The 21,646-nt window shown below is 41.8% G+C and overlaps 2 protein-coding genes across 21 annotated transcripts in view, besides 9 other annotated features; one reads left to right on the top strand and one right to left on the bottom strand.

Annotated features, from left to right (window-relative positions):
- LIPA (lipase A, lysosomal acid type) overlaps positions 1-21,646 on the top strand; it is a 201,108-nt gene that overhangs the window by 67,221 nt on the left and 112,241 nt on the right. For 4 of the 17 annotated variants that reach the window (NM_001440838.1, NM_001440826.1, NM_001440836.1 and 1 more), the window contains exon 1: positions 4,770-4,898. The exons of 8 other annotated variants lie outside the window; for them this stretch is intronic. In NM_001440838.1, coding sequence (NP_001427767.1) covers positions 4,885-4,898 — 14 coding nt within the window. In that variant the 5' untranslated portion in view covers positions 4,770-4,884. Of the gene's footprint in view, positions 1-4,769; positions 4,968-9,123; positions 9,265-11,924; positions 12,443-21,646 lie in introns of those variants that run through there. 5 more of the 17 variants (NM_001440827.1, NM_001440828.1, NM_001440829.1 and 2 more) reach the window with 3 other exon arrangements.
- On the bottom strand, positions 6,491-19,462 carry IFIT3 (interferon induced protein with tetratricopeptide repeats 3). Of its 4 annotated transcripts, none has more exons than NM_001289758.2 (3): positions 19,381-19,462; positions 9,917-10,034; positions 6,491-8,798 (listed from the first exon to the last, which is right to left on the bottom strand). In NM_001289758.2, the coding sequence occupies exon 3, from the start codon at positions 8,645-8,647 to the stop codon at positions 7,331-7,333; it is 1,317 nt and encodes a 438-aa protein (NP_001276687.1). In that variant the 5' UTR covers positions 8,648-8,798; positions 9,917-10,034; positions 19,381-19,462; the 3' UTR covers positions 6,491-7,330. The 4 variants fall into 4 exon arrangements, with proteins under 4 accessions (NP_001276687.1, NP_001276688.1, NP_001540.2 ...); NM_001289759.2 differs by lacking the exon at positions 19,381-19,462 and adding an exon at positions 14,832-14,930 and having other exon boundaries at positions 9,917-10,038; NM_001549.6 differs by lacking the exon at positions 9,917-10,034.
- Positions 13,253-13,442: an enhancer, noted in NCBI's record as "active region_3744". NCBI's record gives its function as "activates an Ori minimal core promoter by ATAC-STARR-seq in GM12878 lymphoblastoid cells {active_cell/tissue: GM12878}" and the evidence as "EXISTENCE:reporter gene assay evidence [ECO:0000049][PMID:35858748]".
- Positions 13,483-13,702: an enhancer, noted in NCBI's record as "active region_3743". NCBI's record gives its function as "activates an Ori minimal core promoter by ATAC-STARR-seq in GM12878 lymphoblastoid cells {active_cell/tissue: GM12878}" and the evidence as "EXISTENCE:reporter gene assay evidence [ECO:0000049][PMID:35858748]".
- Positions 14,833-15,127: an enhancer, noted in NCBI's record as "tiled region #6014; HepG2 Activating non-DNase unmatched - State 2:TssF". NCBI's record gives its function as "activates a minimal TATA promoter and a strong SV40 promoter by Sharpr-MPRA in HepG2 cells {active_cell/tissue: HepG2}" and the evidence as "EXISTENCE:reporter gene assay evidence [ECO:0000049][PMID:27701403]".
- Positions 14,833-15,154: a biological region, named in NCBI's record as "Sharpr-MPRA regulatory region 6014".
- Positions 14,895-15,154: an enhancer, noted in NCBI's record as "active region_3742". NCBI's record gives its function as "activates an Ori minimal core promoter by ATAC-STARR-seq in GM12878 lymphoblastoid cells {active_cell/tissue: GM12878}" and the evidence as "EXISTENCE:reporter gene assay evidence [ECO:0000049][PMID:35858748]".
- Positions 15,245-15,324: a silencer, noted in NCBI's record as "silent region_2592". NCBI's record gives its function as "represses an Ori minimal core promoter by ATAC-STARR-seq in GM12878 lymphoblastoid cells {active_cell/tissue: GM12878}" and the evidence as "EXISTENCE:reporter gene assay evidence [ECO:0000049][PMID:35858748]".
- Positions 17,174-17,233: an enhancer, noted in NCBI's record as "active region_3741". NCBI's record gives its function as "activates an Ori minimal core promoter by ATAC-STARR-seq in GM12878 lymphoblastoid cells {active_cell/tissue: GM12878}" and the evidence as "EXISTENCE:reporter gene assay evidence [ECO:0000049][PMID:35858748]".
- Positions 19,085-19,134: a silencer, noted in NCBI's record as "silent region_2591". NCBI's record gives its function as "represses an Ori minimal core promoter by ATAC-STARR-seq in GM12878 lymphoblastoid cells {active_cell/tissue: GM12878}" and the evidence as "EXISTENCE:reporter gene assay evidence [ECO:0000049][PMID:35858748]".
- Positions 19,455-19,694: an enhancer, noted in NCBI's record as "active region_3740". NCBI's record gives its function as "activates an Ori minimal core promoter by ATAC-STARR-seq in GM12878 lymphoblastoid cells {active_cell/tissue: GM12878}" and the evidence as "EXISTENCE:reporter gene assay evidence [ECO:0000049][PMID:35858748]".

The following is a 21,646-nucleotide window of genomic DNA, read 5'->3' as shown; positions in this document are numbered from 1 at the left end:
TTTTTAAGTTTTCTAGCTATTCTATAAATGATATGGGTGGCTTACTATGCTAAGACTGTTTATGCAAATGATGGAGTTTATGCTAACACTTGCTTTCCTTCTCGAAGTCTGGAATTTTGGTACATGCTAGGCAGAGGGTGCATACATGATCAGTCCCCAGTAAAACCCTTGGGCACACAGTCTAACTGGCTTCACATGTGTTGTCACAATTTGATGCTGGAGGAATTAAGCACAACCTGATGACTCTACCGGCCCTCTTGGAAACCTATACCTGATTTTCTTTGGACTTGGCCCCATGCACTTTTTGTCTGTGCTAATTTTGCTCTGTATACTTTTGTTATAATAAGGCTTAGCTGTGAGTATGACCATATGTTGAATCCTGCTCATCTTTCCAGTGAATCATCAAATCTAGGGGTAGTCTTGGAGACCCTGATGTCAATTTCCTAGAATTCTCTTTAGAAAAAAACAATGCAGCAGGCTATTAGAATATAACAGCTCCCTCTGGGAGACCAAAGGAGAGAAAAGACAGGCTAAGCCTGACTGAGTGTGGCTCTTTCTCCAACCTACGCAATTTCCTATGAGGATTTCCCTTTGTAAGATTTTCTTTCCACACAATAGCTGTCCCCAGATTCCTCAGCCATCATGCGCATGGCTGGGGATGTTGCATCATTCTTGGGCATACCTAGGACACCTGTCCATCCCCTGGTGGATCTTGGTTCAGGATTTTGTTGCTGGTATGTTCCACATAAATCAGAAGAAAAGAAGGTGCAGGGTCATCAAAAACTCTTCTGTTTATTGCGTCAGACTGGAGTCAATGTCTTTCCCTTTATAATCAAGAGGGAGCTCAGGAGGGTTGTGAAATGATATTTGGCAGGAAATCAAGGGAAGTGAATATTCTAACAGGAACCACCCTGACCTTTATGCTTTATGAGATATTCATATAAAGGGACCATGGCAAAGAGAAAATCATTTTATTCATCAAACTCTAGTTGAGCAGAGCTTGTGTTGCAGGGTGAATTATGACACTGTGAACAAAGGTCATTTTGGGGAAGATCCCAGGTTGGATGTTGAACTAGAAAAAGAATATTAGTGGGACAACTGGTAAAATTTGAACAAGACTTGTAGATTAGTTGATTATATGTTGTCACTGTTAGTTTCCTGTCTTAAAGATTATTCTATGTTTATGTAAGGTGTTAACATGATGGGAAGCTGCGTAAAGGGTATATGGGAATTCTGGGCACCATTTTTACAACTTTAAGTCTAAAATCATTTCAAATAAAAAGGGTTAAAAAGTCAAATTATAGGCTGACAATTATTTTCTCTTGGCATTTTGAAACTATTTCCCACTGTGTTTTGGTTGCTATTGAGAAGTCTGAGCTTAACCTAATACCAATTCCTTCACAGATATTTCTTCTGTTTTTTGTCGTTTTAAAAATCTTTCTGCCTCAAAGGCACTTAAAAGATACTACTATGTTTTTAGGTGACATCTGCTTGGGTGATCTTTTGTGAAATTCATGTATTTGAGGATTAGCATTTTTCATTAATTCCGAAAATTTCGGTCATTGTCTCTTCAACTATTGCCTTTCCTCCATTCCCTTTTATTTGTTCTTCTGCAACTCTGATCACATGCATTTTAACTTCCTCACTTTGTTCTCCATGTCCCTGAATATCTCTGTTGATTTTCCATCTCACTGTTTTTCTGTGCTGCATTCTGAGTAGTTTCTTCGAATCTGTCTTCTAAATCAATAAATGCTTTTCAGCTGTGTATAAATTACTTTTCAACAAATCCTTTGAGTTTCTAATTTCTATTATTTTAGTTTTTATATTTCTAAGTTTTGTTTGGTTCTTGTGCAAATATGCCTAATCAAATTTAATACACTATTGTTCCTTTATTTATTTATTTATTTATTTATTTATTTATTTATTTTTTGAGATGGAGTCTCGACCTGTCACCCAGGCTAGAGTGTAGTGGCATGATCTCAGCTCACTGCAACCTCTGTCTCTTGGGTTCAAGAGATTCTCCTGCCTCAGCCTCCTGAGTAGCTGAGATTACAGGCACCCATCACCACACCTGGCTAATTTTTGTATTTTTAGTGGAGATGGGTTTTCACCATGTTGGCCAGGCTGGTCTTGAACTCCTGACCTCAGGCAATCTGCTCACCTCAGCCTCCCAAAGTGCTGGGATTACAGGCATGAGGCACTGCGCCCGGCCTATTCCTTTGTTAAAACTTAATTTTTTCTTTCTTTATCTTGAAATTTACTAAATACACTAATACATTCTTTTTTTTTTTATTGAGACAGAGTTACTCTGTTGCCCAGGCTGGAGTGCAGTGGTGCGATCTCGGCTCACTGCAACCTCTACCTGCCAGGTTTAAGCCATTCTCCTGCCTTAGACTCCCAAGTGGCTGGGATTACAGATGCCCGCCACTATGCCTTGCTAATTTTTGTATTTTTAGTAGAAACCGGGTTCTACCATGTTGGCCAGGCTGGTCTCTAACTCCTGTCCTCAGTGATACACCTGCCTCGGCCTCCCAAAGTGTACTAAATACATTCTTTTTTATTCTCTATTCAATTACAATATCTGCAGTTTTGTTGCTCTGGCTTATCGTTTATTATCTGGCAACTTTTGCACATTGTGGCTTATTTATTTGTGTGTATTCTTTGATTTTGTATTATGACCTGATATTCCTTGGAACTTTATCAAACTTGGAAATTCTTTGAGAACTATGTAAAAAGTGTTTCCCTTTGAGGGGTGTTTTTATTTGCTTTTGTTAGGTGCATGGGAGCACTACCAAGCCAGAATTGCTTAAAATGAAATTTTCTACTTGAGGTTTTTTTTTTTTTTTCTTGCCGCATGGATAGTGAGAATTTCAGCCCAAAACAATCATGCTTCTCCACTTAAGATTAGAAATTATCAATGACTTTTTTTCCTCCCTGCTTTACTTAGGGCCAAAGCCAAAAACAGGCATGTGTAGCCCCATCATTTACGTCTGCAAGGAGTTTGTTCTCCAGTTTAACCTCTGAATGGGTCCTGGTTTTATGTGAGTTCTATGATACAATGTACCACGTGCAGGCCCCAGACTTTGTCTTCCATCTCCTTCATAATGTAATGTAGTCCATGAGAAAGTGATGTAGATCACCAACACAAATGAACACATGCTTATTCTGGTGGATTTTCACTTTCCTGTCATTTCTGGACTTCAGGGAATTCCTTACTCTCTTATAAATGCAGCTGTGCATTTAAAAAATATGTTTTGCAGATTATATAGCATTTTTCATTGTGATACACAGGCTTTTTGTTCTGTGTATATCTGGTCTACCATAATGCTTGTAAGGAAACACATTTAATCTTCTGTGAGGTATAATTTATTATTCCCAGGTTTTATGTAGGAATATCTTAGGGTCACAGAGGTTAGGTGATTTTTCCCAACACTGTAGAGATACTAAGTGGTGGAGGTGAGGTTGAAATAGGTCTAAACCCAAAGCCAAGGCACTTTTAAAAGATTAATAAAGTTTGTCGAATGATACTTGGACTAACTCCTGCCTGAATTAAGCTAGAAATTAATATAAGTTCTTTAATTCAGTTAGGAAGATCCCAAATCAGAAACAAATCATAATAAAAATTGAGATCAGGAAGCTTCCTGAGTGTAGCTCCTCATATCACTGTCCCACACATAAGTACTGCCCCATATGGCAATCGGGAGGCCCCAGGAATGCTTGCTAGGGTCAGGCCCTGCTCCTCTAAGTTAGTTGAAAGCTCCCTCCCTACTCAGTGACTGCTCTCATACTTCTTCACTGTAGCTGTTGGCTCTCAGAACATGATGCCCAAAGTATAGCGCCTCGGTGTGCTGAGTACTTTGAACTGAAAGACATTGGAAGGGCCTCCGAAGAAAGATCTCTTTGACCTTCTCCTGCCCTCTTGTCTTTCATGCTTCTTTCTCCCCTGGAGTGAACCATGGAAACTAGAATTCCTCTTCCGCAAGACAATGATAGAAACTAGAAGCCCTTTCCCCAAAGCAAGCCATAAAACTTAGGAAGGTCACTCTCTCCCTTCTCCCTTCTCATTTGAAGACCCTTAATCCAGAGGAATCCTGCCCCATACTTGCAAAGAAGAAATGCTACACAGAGAGTCCAAGAAGAATTTGAACCCAGTCTATTACCATTAGATCATACTCTTGTCCAAACACATCTCTACAGAGCTGCCCATTCTTCATGGAACCTAAGCACAAAAACAGTTTTCCCTGGATCTTTGGGTCTTCATTTCTGAAGGCTCTCATATCACATAAAACTTTGATTAAGTAAATTTGTTATGCTTTTCTCTTGTTAACTTGTCTTTTGTTATAGGAGTGTCAGCCATGACTCTTACAATGAGTAAGGAGAGGTATTACCTACCTCCTTTTACCCCTACATGCTCTTGGAGCTGATTATCACAGTTTGTAATTTTTCCACCTTCCATTCCTGCTTCTGTGTATTTTGATAAATTTTTGCAGGTCAGTAGACTTCCCATGGCAGAATATTTCCTGCTTCTCACCAGCCCTTAAGCCAATCCAAGGAAAACAAAAGAACATCATAATGCTTTGTCATATGACAAGATTACAAAAGCAGCATCCAGTGGCAGAATGCCCAACTGCTCCGGGACACAGCCAATAGCTGACTTCAGTGCTCCCCATCCCTGCTTGTCAGTGATTAGTCTAAATTGTTATCACAAGCCCAGTCTGACCAATGAATGTGAGTGAGGGGCCATTTTGATTGTCAGCTCCTGATTCTGCAGAAAACACGAAACTGAGCTGTACAAAGATGCTGATGAGGGGCTGCAGCATGCAATTCACTTCACCAGCAGTCACTAAGGTCTGATCTCTTTTCTAACCATACCTGGAAGATGGAATGCTGGACCCAGGGTATGCATAGAAAATGGGAGTTATTAGAAAAGCAGCTTTGCTTGCTTTAACCCAGGAATTGTATTTCTGGTATGTTGTTTCCTTTTAGACAATTGCCCTAAAGGTTCTTTTGTTTAAGGAGCAGGAGGATGGGGGAGGTTATTTCTGCTCTCAGCAAAAGTCTTAGAACCAGGGTCTCCTCGTTTGTAAGGAAGCAAGTAGGTCCCTGGACCTGGGCTGGGATATGATTTGTGATCAGCCAGGCAAGAGTTAAGAGTGGAAGTCTGTGCTCTCTGCCCATCTTATAATATCTTAAGGGTGATCATCTGTGGTATTCTTGAGTGGTATGTCCCATTCCATCTAGCATTTCATTAGAATTATTGTATAAAGGATGACAGGCAGAGGACACTTGACATGGGAATGCTGGACCTATTGGATGTTTATTCATTAGCTGCAGTTACCCCCCATTAGCCTTTTTTAATACAAAGTAAAAATTTAGTTGACATGTAAAAATTGTATATATTTATGGTGTATAGCATGTTTTAATATATGTATACATTGTGGAACGGCTAAATCAAATTATTTAACATATGCATTACCTCAGCTACTTACCTTTCTTTTTGTAGTGAGAACACAAAATCTACTCTCTCAGCAATTTTCACGTATGCAACATATCATTATTAACTATAGTCACCATGATGTACTATGTTAGCCTCTTAATACGGTATAATGCCTTGGCAAAACCCAAAATCCCTAGCAGGTCTGGATCTTTGAGTTTGGAAATGGTCCAAGGTGCATATACTATGTCTGTGAATACCAGAGGGCAACTCTTTATGGGTTCCTGGTGTAGGGTCTATATTCTAAATTCTGAGAGATGAACTCCTTTAGGGCCACAGTCTTTCTGCCACTTATGAACCTACAAGCAAGTTTCCAGGTGTTAAATCAGCTAGGGAATCATTTCAGAATTTATTTCAAATATTACATTAATTCCTAGGGGATAAGGAATTTAAAAGGAAAGTGTTCAAATGATCATCTTATACATTTATATACTTTTACCTTTCTGTTTACACCTTTGTGACTAGATATTACATTCATGAGTGAATTAAAAATGAACTGCAGAAGTTAATCTCAAGAGTCCATGGAGGCTATTCCCCCATGTGTTTAAGAGACCTTTGCTGTCCAGGTCTGACTTTAACCTGAACAAAATGGAGCTCACCGTGTCAGATGCTGGCAGTTTGAAAGGGACTGCTGTAGACCTGGATGGATCTCTGCCCTTTTGACCAGCCTCACACTGATGTCCCTCACACTCTGTCAGGGAGGCATTTGCCCAGATATTCCTGGGCTTACAGCAACCCTGTCTACAGCAGCAGCTGCTAACTGGGCATGGGGCTTAGTTGGGGCTCCTAGGCTGGAAAGACAGTCATAGTTCCTATAATGTAAGGATAGGCTGCCTTCAGGGGGAGGGTGTTCATTCTAAGGGAGGGGCTCAAATGAACATGTCGAGAATAGTATGGTACGGCTTAGCAATTACCCACTGTTCCTAGTAGGAGAAATTTTGGGAATTAATATTACTGTTATAGTCCCATACACAAACCACACAATTACCTCTATTCTAACAGAGTTGAAATGTTTGGATTTATTGTAGCATTACTATCAGGAATACACATTGATTATGGTATTGCTATCAAGAATACATATAAATACATGCCTGAAGCTATAAGTGAGATAAGAGATATTCCAGGGTTAGTCAAAAGTTAATCTTTGAGTTCCAGAAGTCTGGATGAAAATGAGATGAGACTGCAAATTTTGTTGTTAGGCAGTCACCATTTATGACCCTTGGCAGGGAGGGCAGGAATGGTGGTTATATTGTGAACTGAATGAAAACTGAGAACTAATCAGCATCATGTGGGCCTGAAGCATTTATTGCTACCAGTGATTAGTTGTAAGACCTTCGGACTATGTAACTGTAATGAACTATAATGAACATGAGAAAACAACTCTTTTTTTTTTTTTTTTTTTTTTTTGAGATGGAGTCTTGCTCTGTTGCCCAGGCTGGAGTGCAGGGGCGCAATCTTGGCTCACTGCAACCTCTTCCTTCCAGGTTCACGCCATTCTCCTGCCTCAGCCTCCCAAGTAGCTGGGACTACAGGTGCCAGCCACCACGCCTGGCTAATTTTTTGTATTTTTAGTAGAGACGGGATTTCACTGTGTTAGCCAGGATGGTCTCAAACTCCAGACCTCGTGATCCGCCCACCTCGGCCTCCCAAAGTGCTGGGATTACAGGCATGAGCCACTGCGCCCGGCCAAAAAACAACTCTTTAAAAATGTACCTTAGAGCAACATGCAAAGCTTCCCTGCTCAGCAATCCCAGGTTGGGGCCCCCTGTCTTCCTATCGTCCTACCCGTCACAACCACCACTGCAGGCTTCTGATGCTCTGTTTTCCTCCTCTGTCTCAGTTCAGTTGCTCTGAGTTAGAGAGGAGCTCTCTGGGACTGGAGCTGACTGCGCCCTGGCCCATTTCCTCACTACCATCCTCAAGCTCAGATGCTGACAGGAAAATACTGCCTATGCCTGAAGGGGCATCCCTTAGCAGGCGGCCCAGTTCCTTCTCATAACATTTGGCTGCTTGCAGCAGATCTCCATTCTGCTTATGAATTAATCCTTGAAGATACCAATAATTTGGTGCATTTTGTGGAAGCAGATTTTCAGATACATTCTGTGGTTGGTCTTTGATCTCTTCCTTGTCAGTTGATTTTTTGCTTATGGACAAACCCTCTAAACCATGTTGCACAGCAGTGTCTTCAGACTTCCCATTATATTTCTGAAGGTTGCAGTAGCGCTGATGGGATTGTTGCTTTTCAGCATCAGGGACTTCCTTATTGAATGGTGTCTGATAACATTCCGTCTCCAGGAACTCAGCGAGATCGGAGTATGCATTCAGAGGATTCAGTCCCTTCTCAAGAGCTTTATTCGAATAGTCCATAGCATATTGCTTTAGTGCTTCAATCATCTCTTTATTTCCACTAGCTTCAGATTCTCCTGTATTCTGCATTTGTCTTACTTTTGCCTTGTAGCAGCACCCAATCTGGTGATAGAGGTAGCCATTGTTTGGTGTGGATTCCAACACCCGTTGAAACAGTTCAATAGCTTTGTCTAGGTCACCTTTTCTTCTGTAAAATTTGGCTGCACTGCGGAGGACATCTGTTTGGCAAGGAGACTTTTCCAAGGCTTCTTCAACAAACTGCTCTCCTTCAGCTTCTTTATTCATCTTCTGCAGTTTCAGGCCCAAGAGAACCTTGACGTATTGGTTATCAGGACTCAGCTCAATGGCCTGCTTCAAAACATCAGTAGAGAACTGTTTCTCTGGGTGATTATCCAGATGGTACATCGCAATTGCCAGTCCAGAGGAGAATTCTGGGTTGTTGGGCTTTTCTTCCAGAGCCTTCTCAAAACACACCTTCGCCCTTTCATTTCTTCCACACTTCAGTTGTGTCCACCCTTCCTCACAGTCAAGTTCAGAATACTCAATACTGTATGGATTTGAAAATTTCTTGCAGGTTTGTTTCACCTTATCTACATAAATCTGAGCATCTGAGAGTCTGCCCAAGTGATAGTAGACCCAGGCGTAGTTTCCCCAAGTGACTAGACTTCTGATTTCTGCTTGGTCAGCATGTTCTTGCTGGATTAACTCTTCAGCTTGCCGTAAGCATTCCAGGGCTGCCTCGTTGTTACCATCTAGGTGTTTTATGTAGGCCAACAAGTTGTACATTGTAGCTTTGAACTCAGTGTTTAAAAATTCAATCTGGTTACACACTCTATCTTCTAGATCCCTTGAGACACTGTCTTCCTTGAATAAGTTCCAGGTGAAATGGCATTTCAGCTGTGGAAGGATTTTCTCCAGGGAATTCTTGGTGACCTCACTGTGGAGAAAATAAACATGGTCACTGTGATGTACACTGCCAAGCACTGCACCCTGTGATCATTAATTTTATATGTCAATTGAACTGGGCCACAGGATGCCCAGATATTTGGTCCAACATTATTTCTGGGTATGTATGTGAGGTTGTTTCTGGAAGACATGAACATGTGAATTGGTGGACTGAGTAGAGCAGATTGCTCTCCCCAGTATGGGTGGGCATTATCCATTCTGTTGAGGGCCTTAATAGAACAAAAAGGCAGAGGAAGGGAGAATTCTCCCTCTGACCGACTGCTTGAGCTAGGACATTGGTCTTTTTCTGCCCTTAGACTAGACTTGGACTAGAACTTTCACCATTGGCTTACCTGGTTCTCAGACTTTTAGACTTGGACTGGGACTACACCATCAACTTTCCTTGGTCTCCAGCTTGCAGACAACAGATTATGGGACTTGCCAGTCTCCATAATCAGGTGAGCCAATTCCTCATAATAAATCTCTTTATATATAGATGTTCCTTGACTTATGATGGGGTTATATCCTGATAAACCCATCATAAATTGAAAACATTGTAAATAAAAAGATGCATTTAATACATCTAACCTACCATAGCTTAGCCTAGCTTAAATGTGCTCAGAACCCTTACATTAGCCTACAGTGGGGCAAAGTCACCTAACACAAAGCCTATTTTATACTAAAGTGTTGAGTATCTCATGTAACTTATTGAATACTGTATTTTAAGTGAAAAACAAGAATGGAATTATCACTTTTGTACCATCACAAGGTTGGAAAAATTGTAAGTTGCTTCCTACATTCACTTTTCTTTAGCTACAGTCTGTGCAGACACCCACAAAGCACATCCCTTACACCGTGTAAGCAGATATGCAGGAGGTGAGGTAAGATGGGTAAGAGGAGGCAGCTTCAGTGACAGGAAATGAGATCTCTCTCACGCTGCTCAATTACCAAGTCAGCCAGGAATGGTGACTCATGCCTGTAGTCCTAGCACTTTGGGAGGCCAAGGCGGGTGGATCACCTGAGCCCAGGATTCAAGACCAGCCTGGGCAACATGGCGAAAGCCTGCCTCTACTAAAAATACAAAAATTAGCCAGGGATGGTAGTACATGCCTGTAGTCCTCGCCATTCGGGAGGCTGAGACAGGAGGATCACTTGAGCCCAGGAGGCAAAAGTTGTAGTGAGCTGAGATCACACCATTACACTCCAGCCAGGGTGATAGAGTGGGACCCTGCCTCAAAAAAAATAAAAGTAAGAATAAAAATTAAAAAATACCAAGTCAGTTCTCATTCCTTGTACATTCTGGGTAAGGTTTGTTTAGCTATCCCATGACTCTTTATTGGGGTACCTCTTTTTGTCACTTTATTAGATATTATGGATACTAAGAAAAATAGAGATTATCCCAACCTTCTCTGCCCGCCAGGTGCTTTCAGTTTTGTTAGGAGACATGTAAAGAAATAAAAGCCCAGATATGTCTGCCAACATGTTATGTGATTTAGGTATTTTTCCCTTCATCTTTTCCACCACTTACAAACAGACCCACGGAGGCTCAGCTTGAGTCTGACTGAAGTAGTCTCCCCACCACACAGGCCAGATTCCCAGACAGAATGAATTTGTTGCAACAAACAAACAAAATGGACTCATTTTTGTTTTGTAGTTGGAAGATACTAAAGGAGATCACTTGCCTTATTTAGCTGGATAAATTGCAAGAGTTCTCTAAGTGTGTTCCCATTATCTACATTTGCCTGGGGCTTGGGCTGTATGTCCCTCACTCTTGAGTTTGTGCTTCTTCCTTCTTACCAGTGGAGTCACGGCACCATAAGATTGGAAAGAACCTCCAGAAATCATTAAACCAAGTGTCCTTATTTTTGGATTTCACAGACAAGCACAATTTCAGAAAAAAAGTTATGAACCAAATAGGGCTGCTAATGTATCTGAAAAGATACCAACCATCTATTCTGACCAATATTTTATTTTAAAAGATAGAAAAGAAAGAATTTTCCTTGCCACTGAAAAAGTAATCTCAGAATAAACAAAATTCTTTAAATTGAATGCATTTTGTTCTACAAGGAGCCATTGACTTTATTTGCAATTTACCATGGACGAGCACTGGCCCTCACACCGCTACTGCAAGTGTACTGATCTATTATACTTCCTGTCTGTCTCTCCAGTAATGCTGATCTAAACCATTTTTGGCCCAATATGATTGCACATGAAATGCTTTATAGTGAGAGATGCAGAATCAACTCAAGGGCAATGGGAGTGAGGAGGGAAGTTGCCATCTACATCCGGCTAGCCTCTTTATGTGTGTGCTTTGATTTGGGGACAGTCCTTTTCCTTTTCTTGGTCCCTGTCTAGGGTTCCAGTGTCAATATCTTCCCTGTCTATTATAGGGTCCTTCCTTTCTTCCTTCCTTCTTTCCCTCCCTCCCTCTCTTCCTCCCTCCCTATTTTCCTTCTTTCCTCCCTTCCTTCCTTCCTTCCCTCCCTCCCTCCCTTCCTCCCTCCCTATTTTCCTTCTTTCCTCCCTTCCTTCCTTTTTTTGCAGAGACAGGGTCTCACTATATTGCCCAGAGTGGTCTCAAACTCCTGGTCTCAAGCAATCCTTCTGCCTCGACATACCAAAGTGTTGGGATTACAGGTGTGAACCACCACACCTGGCCCTAGGGGTTTTCAATTTGGCTTTACCTGGGTATTCTAACTACCCTGTATGAAGGACTACAAGTCAAAAGTCAAGTTAGCAATTATTTAAAAAATGAATACCAAAAGTAAGTTATAACGATGATAATTGAACAACTCTGCTTATATCTGTTATGCCACTAAATCATAATAAAGTCATGGAAACATGAGTTAACTTTGCTGATGTGTGAATTAGGAAGGTTAAAAGGAGAAAGTGTGAGTCTCAGATCAATAGAATGTATCTGCAGATTTGTAGGTACATATGGGTGCCTGAAAAAAATAGCTGAACACTAGTAATTAATAGAGAGTATCCAGTGGACCTGCAGGATGACAGGTGATGTTGGATGTATTGTTGGATGTATTTGCCTCAACGAAACCGGAAACCACCTTGCAAGTCTGATGACACTATCTCTCTCTCTTTTTTTTTTTTTTTTGGAGGGCAGAAGGCTTTGACATATCAATGCACCAGGGATCTTACCAAACTAAATTTTAAGCACTTATAGCTCAAGATTCTCCCTCTGAGATGAAACATACTTCCACCCTGTCATGTGTCAGCTTCAGAAGATATCAATTGCTCAAGAAAGTGTTGGACAAGCAGAAAAGCACACTGAACATTTCTGGACTTGTGAAAGAGCTCTGAATATGGATCTCTCAGGGATATTCCATCCCCACCAATGCTTTACCAATGCGAGAGCTGGCCAGGCTGAGACATTTAATGATAACATGGAACAATTTATTCAGGAAGATAGTCAACTACTCATGTGGCTTTATGATTATAAAACCCACTGAAAATTGGGTCCCTTGATTCTCTTGATTTTTCCTAAGCCTTACTCCCTAAAGTCTCCAATTTGATGAGGTATTTGATACTTGATCTCTCCTTGAAGTAAAATTTGGAGCAAAATATATTGGACTGGAAGGCCTGAGACCTCGATAAGAAGAAACATGAACCCCAGAGCCACAGGTCAGGAGGTTTTCATTATAATACTATTGCCCTCTTAAAACAAATACTCCAATTGCCAAGGTTTCCTCACTTAATAATTTATCTCATATGTGTTTTTGAAAGTTACTCTGAATACTTCTTATATGTATAAATAAGTTAGTTAACAGTAATTAATGCAGATATTTAAATAAATACAAGCAGGCAGGTGGGATGATGACTACAGTCACTTGATAAAGAACAGCTAGGTGGCCGGGCGCGGTGGCTCACACCTGTAATCCCAGCATTTTGGGAGGCTGAGGCGGGTGGATCATGAGGTCAAGAGTTCGAGACTAGCCTGGCCAACATGATGAAACCCCGCCTGTACTAAAAACACAAAAATTAGCCGGGCGTGGTGGCAGGCGCCTGTAATCCCAGCTACTCGGGAAGCCGAGGCAGAATTGCTTGAAACCGGAAGGCGGAGGTTGCAGTGAGCCAAGATCGGGCCACTACACTCCAGCCTGGGCGAAAGAGCAAAACTCCGTCTCAAAAAAAAAAAAAAAAAAAAAAAAAAAAAAAAAAAGAATAAAAGAAAAAGAAGAAAAAACAGAATAGCTAGGTTCAGGTGAAACTTGGGGAGTAGAATGCCAGTCCTACCTGGATCTGCATCTAGTAGAAGACCTTAGGGAGATAGGATTCCCTCAGGTCCAGAAAGAGATTTCCCATGACCTCGGATTGCAGACATAAGATTTCGCTTACTAAAGCAGTTAAAGCTAGTGCTGCTAGTCCTTAGGAAATCCCCAGAATCAACATAGTTACAGTCTCTCACCTAACCCAGATCATGACCACCTGTCTTGCCCACAGACTCCAGGGTAGATACCACATCTCCTTCCCAGTCAAAGCTATTACTAGAGTAGAATCTTGAAATTTTCAGAAAGTGGCTTTCTTGAAGTGGTAAGAGTGGGGATTTCCCCACTCTTGTCTGCACATGTGCAGCTTGTCCCCAGCATGTGCTGGTTATGCTCCAACTGACTACGTGAAGGAACTGGCAGACCTGTGCTCAGTTGGTTGGTCAGAACAGGCCCAATCCAAGGAGTCCATCACTTCAGAAAGCAAGTGAAGGAACTCTCCAGAGCCGGACTTCTCAACCTTTAATGTACATATGGACACAAACATCTGGAGATCTTTTTAAAATGCAGATCTGGATTCAGATAAGCTGGGATGTTACCTTTCTTACAACCTCCCGGGGGATCTCAGCTTCAGACCACACTGTGAGCAGCAAGGCTCTGGGAAGACTTCCCTTTTTGGCAGTGATTTCCAATCACCAGTTTCTCATACTTAAATTACCCTTTAAACAGTCAAACTTTGCTTTATTTTTATTTTATTTTTGTTTTTTTGTAGGTCTCACTTTGTTGCCAATTCTGGTCTGGAGCCCCTGGGCTCAAGCAATCCTCTTGCCTCAGCCTCCCAAAGTGCTGGGATTACAGGCTTAGCCACTGTGCCCAGAAACAAGCTTTGCTTTATTTCAACATTCTTCCCACCCCTCCCCCCTCCTGCCTCTTGGGGTTTCCTCCTTCACATTTACACACATACAATGCAGGAAGCCTTGTATGCATTTAAGGAAGAGAGGATTTGGAGATGGACATTTCTTCTGTAAGCCATTCAGTATGCCTATGAAGTACTTGTGGTCCTCTTTAAATATATGTTTGTTTCTGGACCTTATTTCTGTTTTACTCAATCAGGATTTCAGAATGCAGGACCTAGAAATTTGCATTCTATTAGAAGACTCAGGTTGATATGATTCAGGCCACTCGCAGAACACAGTTTGAGAGACTGCAAGCAACACCTTCTCCCTGTTCATTGATCACGTGGGAGGCTTAGCAGGTCACTAGACCTGCTAGAGGACAACTCAAGTAGACATATCCCCCAATTATGAAAAAGTGCATTTCAAGGTAAAAGTGACCTCAACATAAATTGGAATTTTGCAGTGCTGAATTAATTATTGACACATTTGCTGAGAAGCAAGCATGGTTTAAAAATAACCACAGTCACAACAAAACCACAAACCTCTGACTTAGGCTTTCTAAATATAAGAAACAAAAGACGAACCAGAACCTCCAGTAACTTCCCTCCAGGCCCCAGCTTTCACTGGCCCGATTTTACCTGAAAGCATCTGAGCATGGGCTCTCTAGGATCTCTCAATATGCCCCGTCCCTTCCCAGCTCCCAGCTCCCATTTCCCTGTGTCCTTTGGCTGCCTAACTCTATACATCACAAAGAGCTACAGAAATAAAAATGCATGAATTGGTAAGGCAGATTTATGCTTGAATTAGATAAATGCATATTTCATCTCTAAGCAAACACTGAAATAGCATAAGTCAGGAAGTTGTACATAAGAAATTCTGTTTCCTATCAGAGAAGCAGGGACTATTTACCTCATGATGGCTGTTTCCCTGCAGTTCTGAAAAGCTGGGGTCCCGGTTGATTTTGTTTTTAGCTTACTGATTCCAAGCAAATGCTGAAGAGGTTTCCACCCAGGGTGCTGTTAGGTCTGTGCTTTTATGAAAGGGGAAAGGAAAGTGAAACTGATGGAACCCTATCAAGATCCCTCTTGAGGGGAAACTGAAACAGAATCTGTGAGAACTGAGCTCACTCACGCCAGGAACATGTTCCAGACAGATTTGGAAAACTGTGGTTTGAAAGTTGTAAAAAGGCACTGTAAAAAGAAAATAAAATTTTAGAAGCTTCCAAATGTGTTATGTCAAGAGGCAAAGTTAAGCCCTGAAAACTGACTCACGTAACGTGACTGTTTTTTTTCTCAGGTGCATGACTGTTGCTCTTTGACCTGTGTGGTGAGGGGTTACATGTTAACCAGACTCCCTAGTCTCACTGCAATTTCTGCCTCTCGGGTTCAAGTGATTCTCCTGCCTCAGCCTCCTGAGTAGCTGGGATTACAGACGTGCACCACCATGCCTGGATAATTTTTGTATTTTTAGTAGAGGCGGGGTTTCACCATGTTGGTCAGGCTGTTCTCGAACTCCTGACCTCATGATCTGCCCGCCTTGGCCTCCCAAAGTGCTGGGATTATAGCCTTGCACCACCGTGCCCGGCCTCAGACAACCTAGTCTTTATTAAAACGTAGACCTCATGTTATGGAAATAGAGACCCTTTTGATTGTTACTTTTTTTTTTTTTTTTTTTTTTTGAGACAGGATCTCACTCTGTCATCCAGGCTGGAGTGCAGTAGCACGATCTCAGCTTACTGCAACCTCTGCCTCCCAGGCTCAAGCGATCCTCCCATCTCAGCCTCTCCAGTCAATGAGACTATAGGCACGTGCCACCACGCCTGGCTGATTTTTGTATTTTTAGTACAGACGGGGTCTCACTATGTTGCCCAGGCTGGTCTCCAACTCCTGAGCTCAAGCATCTGCCCTCCTCGGCCTCCCAAAGTGTTGGGCTTATGGGTGTGAGCCACTGCGGCCAGCCATGTTACCTCTTTACAAAAGAATATTAAGCAATTCCCTTGGACTGTAATCAATAGTAGCCAATCAAATTGTATATCTGTATGTTAGCCTCTGTATGGAAAATGTTGGCCAGGCACGGAGGCTCACGCCTGTAATCTCAGCACTTTGGGAGGCCAAGGTGGGTGCATCACTTAAGGTCAGGAGTTCAAGACCAACCTGACCAACATGGCAAAACCCCATTGCTACTAAAATACAAAAAAATTAACCAGGCATAGTGGCGTGCTCCTATAGTCCCAGCTACTTGGGAGGCTGGGTGGGAGAATCCCTTGAGCCCAGGAGTCTGAGGCTGCAGTGAGCCATGATCGGGCCACTGCACTCCAGCCTGGGTGACAGAGTGAGACTCTGTCTCAAAAACAACAACAGCAACAACAAAAACAACAACAACAAGAGAAGTTGTCATTCTGTTGAACACCTCTGTCTTTGCCTATGTAAACAGTCCTCATTTTTCTCTACACTGGAAGTACTGTTCACCATTCTTGGGTGCAGCTCTACTCCTGGGACTGCTGCCCTCAACTTTTTGTTGAATAAACTCTTTTAACTGGATCCTGAGCCTTCTGATTATTGTATATTGACAGTACTGACTATGCAGTCCTACTCCCAGAGATTCTGGTGCAGTGAATCTGATGTGAGCTTAGAAACCTGTGTTTTCACAAGTGCCTTGGAAATTCAGTGCAGGAGTTCCTGTACCACATTTTGAGAAGTGCTGTCATAGAGGTATTTTAAAAAGCAGTTTTCCCCTTTATTTATGGAGCTAATGTGGTGAATTAAGCAGCATTATCAGGCATCTTGAGTGAAGGGAAGAAAACCACAGGACACCTGGATTTCAGTGACCTCTTTGCTTAGTTCTGGGATATTTCTTGAGTCATATCACTGAGCCTCATTCCCTTATCCTTAAAATGCCCTAGGATGAATTTCCTTTTCCCTTCATCCAAATGATAGAAAATTATGCCCTGGGGAGAACCACTTTCACCCTTCTCCAAGATCTGGGTTCAGTTCTTGTGGCTTTGGCCACTCTAAGGCATGGGTAACCATCAAAGGCTGGCCCTTACTCTCCAGATAGGAAGCCCATCCCTGGCCCCCTCTCTAAAGTGAGCATAGTTGAAAGCATTAAGATCTTTCACCTTTTGGCCATTGGGCATAGAGTCAGATGATCAGCAGTAGAGTTTGGTGCCTCCATTAATGACTCTGCTCTGACACCTGCTCTCTATCTGATGTCTTGGGCAAGTAATTTGCCCTTCTAAGCCCCATTTTGGTCATCTAGAAAATGAGGCTAATAATAGAAATAATAGCTCTTACTTCCTAGGGCTGTTGGAAGGGTGATATGAGGTCATGCGTAAAACGTGTTTAACACAGTGCCCACTTGTCAGGCCTCTGAGCCCAAGCTAAGCCATCATATCCTGTGACCTGCATGTACACATCCAGATGGCCAGTTCCTGCCTTAACTGATGACATTCCACCACAAAAGAAGTGAAAATGGCCTGTTCCTGCCTTAACCGATGACATTATCTTGTGAAATTCCTTCTCCTGGCTCATCCTGGCTCAAAAGCTCCCCTACTGAGCACCTTGTGACCCCCACACCTGCCCACCAGAGAACAACCCCCCTTTGACAGTAATTTTCCTTTACCTACCCAAATCTTATAAAATGGCCCCACCCCTATCTCCCTTCCCTGACTTTCTTTTCGGACTCAGCCCACCTGCACCCAGGTGAAATAAACAGCCTTGTTGCTCACACAAAGCCTGTTTGGTGGTCTCTTCACACGGACTTGCATGAAACCACTAACTACAGATCACAAAGAAATGTTACCACCATGATTGCTGGTACTAATATATTTGTGTTATAATTTTAAGTGAATTTGTGAGTGTGTAAAGGGAGCAACAGAGTTCCTCAGTGGATGGGGCAGAGGAGGATGCCCATCAGCTGGCACGTGCCAGTGAGTTCTCCAGGTGATTTTCCCATTTGGAAATTTTTAGCACAACTGGGGAGGAGCAGCCCAATCTCTTCCTGTTCCTATAGCCTCTGGAAATAGGAGCACCTTGATGTGAACCTGAGTCCAGCATAGTTCAGAGAGCCCCCCTCAGACCTCCTCAGGTCAGTGGCTATAGACACACCTAAAGACAGGACCCTGTAAAACCTTTCCTGCAAGCTGGCTACTAAGACGCCTTGCTCTCTGGTCAATCCCACTCACACAGACACAATTAACATCACTCTTGACCAGGAACTTATTCTATATAAAAGGGTATTCTATATACTGAGGTATTTGGCAGTGAATTCCTCTTACCCATCTCATCCCCAAACATGACATTGCAGAGCATCTTCAAGTCCTTGGGGCAGAGTAAGGTAGGGAATCCAGTTTTCCTTTTCTGCCCCCCTGAATGGTCGATGGGGTCTTCCCTCCCTGGCAATCACCTCCTCACTCCTTTCCTAGAGATGCTTGGTGGGAAAGGCATCCTTTTCTCTTAGTTCTCCCTAACATGCTATCCCCTGAAGAACTCCAGGAGGTCAATATATAAATTTAAAAATCAAGTTTACTGAGATTATGCTTTATATACAATAAGATGCACCCATTTTCAGTGTATAGTCTGATGAGTTTTGGTAAATGTTTATGCATATGTAGCCACCATCACTACCTCCCTATAGACTATTCCTATGATTCTAAAAAGATTCTTTTGGGAGCCTTCCTACTCAATCCCCACCATCTCCAGGCAACCACTGATCTGCTTCCCACCATTAGAGATTAGACTAGTTTTAGATAATAGATTAGGTCATTACACTTTTGAGGAGAAATTCTTTTTTTGCTGCTGACCAGCATTCACTACATCAATAAAAATAAATGCTAAGCTTTGGGTTTGTTTTTATATAAGAAATGACAAAAATGCCCATTTGTAAGAATTGTTTCTTCCACTTCCCACCTTAAAGTAATGCAACGTTTCAGGGCAAAATTGCCTTCTTCATGAGTGGGTTTGCAGTACTGATTGTATCTTTCACAATATCTGTTGAAAATAAATTCCTCCTTTTAAAATTACAAGAAAAAAAGCCTGTGACTTAATCTTTTCAAACAAAATGACAATAACAGAAAAACCCAAAAGAGTAATTCCCTTAGGTCTACCCTTGAATCAGCCAAGTTTGTGGCTGAGTGAAATACACCGCTCCTGCCAAGCCTTCCTCTCATTGCAGGAAATAGCTGCACACAGGGAGGAAACATGAGCTGATGCATTCCCCACCCTGCCTCCCCCCATGTAGTTCCGTAGGGAACCATTCCAGAAACTTAAGAAGCCTGTGTGTACACCAAAAAAAGCCACAGGGAAAAACCCCTCAAACATCTTACAAATGCTCAGACTGATAAAGACATATTGAATCTATAAACATCAGGACAATTCAGGAATGTGCCTGCACAGTAAGAAACTCAACTTACAATTTGCACTCAAAAACAAGCATGATTATGCATTCTTATTTCACTGACCTCATGACTGCCCTCTGTGTCTCTGCTGTTCCGAAAAGCTGGTGACCAGGCTGATTTGTTCTTCAGAAGTCTTCCTGTCTGCCTCAAGTAAATACTGAAGGAACTATATAAAGGGGTGGGAGAGTAGGGCACGCATCAGCTGATGTTTTCTCCGTTTTTGAGTAATTGCTTTTAGGGGAAGGAAGAGGAAACTGGAAAGTGAAACTAATTTAAAATCGTTGGGAGGAGGAAAATGAAACCTAACGGCTTGAGACCTGCAATGGCTGAGCCAGAGTACGTTATTCAAAACTGTGACTAAAATTTGTTTGAGAGAATGTGGAAGCATTCCTAATGTAAACCAAAAAATTAAATTCTAAGGCCATACTCACCAACCATGTGACTGGACCCCTGCTTTTGGCCAAGGGCATTCCAAAGTTAACCTGAAAACTGATGTGAAGGGGAAGCTGGATATGCCTCATTACATCCTTTTTCCTTTTGGAATTACTAATAGAACACACTCTTTTTTTGTTTTTGTTTTTGTTTTTTTTTGAGACAGAGTCTTACTCTGTTGCCCAGGCTGGAATGCAGTGGCATGATTGCGTCTCACTGCAACCTCTGCCTCCTGGGTTCAAGTGATTCTCTTGCCTCAGCCTCCCGAGTAGCTGGGATTACAGGCACCCACCACCATGCCCGGCTAATATTTGTATTTTTAGTAGAGACGAGGTTTCGCCATGTTGGTCAGGCTGGTCTTGAACTCCTGATAGCAGGTGATCCAACCACCTTGGCCTCCCAAAGTGCTGGGATTACAGGCATGAGCCACTGCACCCAGCCAGAACATGCTCTTTTTAAGTGTATTAAGAAACATTTACAACCTATTCTCTCTGAAGCCTGCTACTTGGAGGCTTCATCTGCATAATAAAACCTTGGTCTCCACGACCCAGACATTCCTTTCTAATGATTGTCTATTGAATTTCTATTGGATGTCTCCAAACATTCCTTTCTATTGATAATAACTCTTTCAACAAATTGTCAATCAGAAAATCTTTGAATCTGCCTATGACTTGGAAGCTGCCCCGCTTCCCTGTTTCCAATTGTCCCACCTTTCTGGACCTAGCCAATGTACACCTTACATGTATTGATTGATGCCTTATGTCTCCCTAAAATGTATAAAACCAAGTTGTGGCCTGGCACATGTTCTCAGGATCTCCTGAGGGCTGTGTCACAGGCCATAGGTCATTCATATTTGGCTTAGAATAAATCTCTTCAAATGTTTTACAGAGTTTGACTTTTTTTGTCAACATTAGGTATCTGACCATCAGTCTAGGGTGGGGCCCAGGAAACAGCATTTTTTAAGCCAATTCTTATTATTTTTAAAAATTTTTTGTGGACACATAGTAGATATATATATTTATGGGGTACATGAGATATTTGATGCGAGCATACAATGAGTAATAATCACATCAGGGTAAATGACTTCAAGCATTTATTCTTTGTATTACAAACAATCCAATTATACTCTTTTAGTTATTTTGAAATGTGCAATAAACTATTGTTGACTATAGTCATCCTCTTGTTCTAACAAACACTAGATCTTATTAATTCTATCTAAGTATATTTTTGTACCCATTAACCATCCCCACTTCCCCCGCTACTACTCTTCCCAGCCTCTAGTAATCATCATTCTAATCTCTATCTCCATAAGTTCAATTGTCTTAATATTTTTAGCTTCCACAAACAAGTGAGAATATGTAAAATTTGTCTTTCTGTGCCTGGCTTAATTCACTTATAATGACCTCCACTTCTATCCATGTTGTTGCAAATGACAGGATCTCATTCTTTTTATGGCTAAAGAGCACTCCGTTGTGTAAATGTACCACATTTTCTGTATCCATTCTTCTGCTGATGGACACTTAGGTTGCTTCCAAATCTTGGCTATTGTGAATAGTGCTGCAATAAACATGGGAGTGCAGATATCTCTTTGATGTACTGATTTCCTTTCTTTTTGATGTATTCCTGGCAGTGGGATTACTGGATCATATGGTAGTTCTATTTTTAGTCTTTTGAGGAACCTCCGAACTGTTATCCATAGTAGTTATAATAGTTTACATTCCCACCAACAGTGTACAAGAGTTTCCTTTTTTCCACATCCTTGCCAGCATTTGTTATTGCCTGTCTTTTGGATAAAAGCAATTTTAACCAGGGTAAGATCATATCTCATTGTAGGTTTTTTTTTAACTTATATTTTATGTGCAGGTATACACGTACAGGTTTGTTATTTAGGTAAATT

Source organism: Homo sapiens, chromosome 10 (genome assembly GCF_000001405.40).
Source record: "Homo sapiens chromosome 10, GRCh38.p14 Primary Assembly".
NCBI lineage: Eukaryota > Metazoa > Chordata > Mammalia > Primates > Hominidae > Homo > Homo sapiens.
This window is presented reverse-complemented; position numbering and strand designations above follow the sequence as displayed.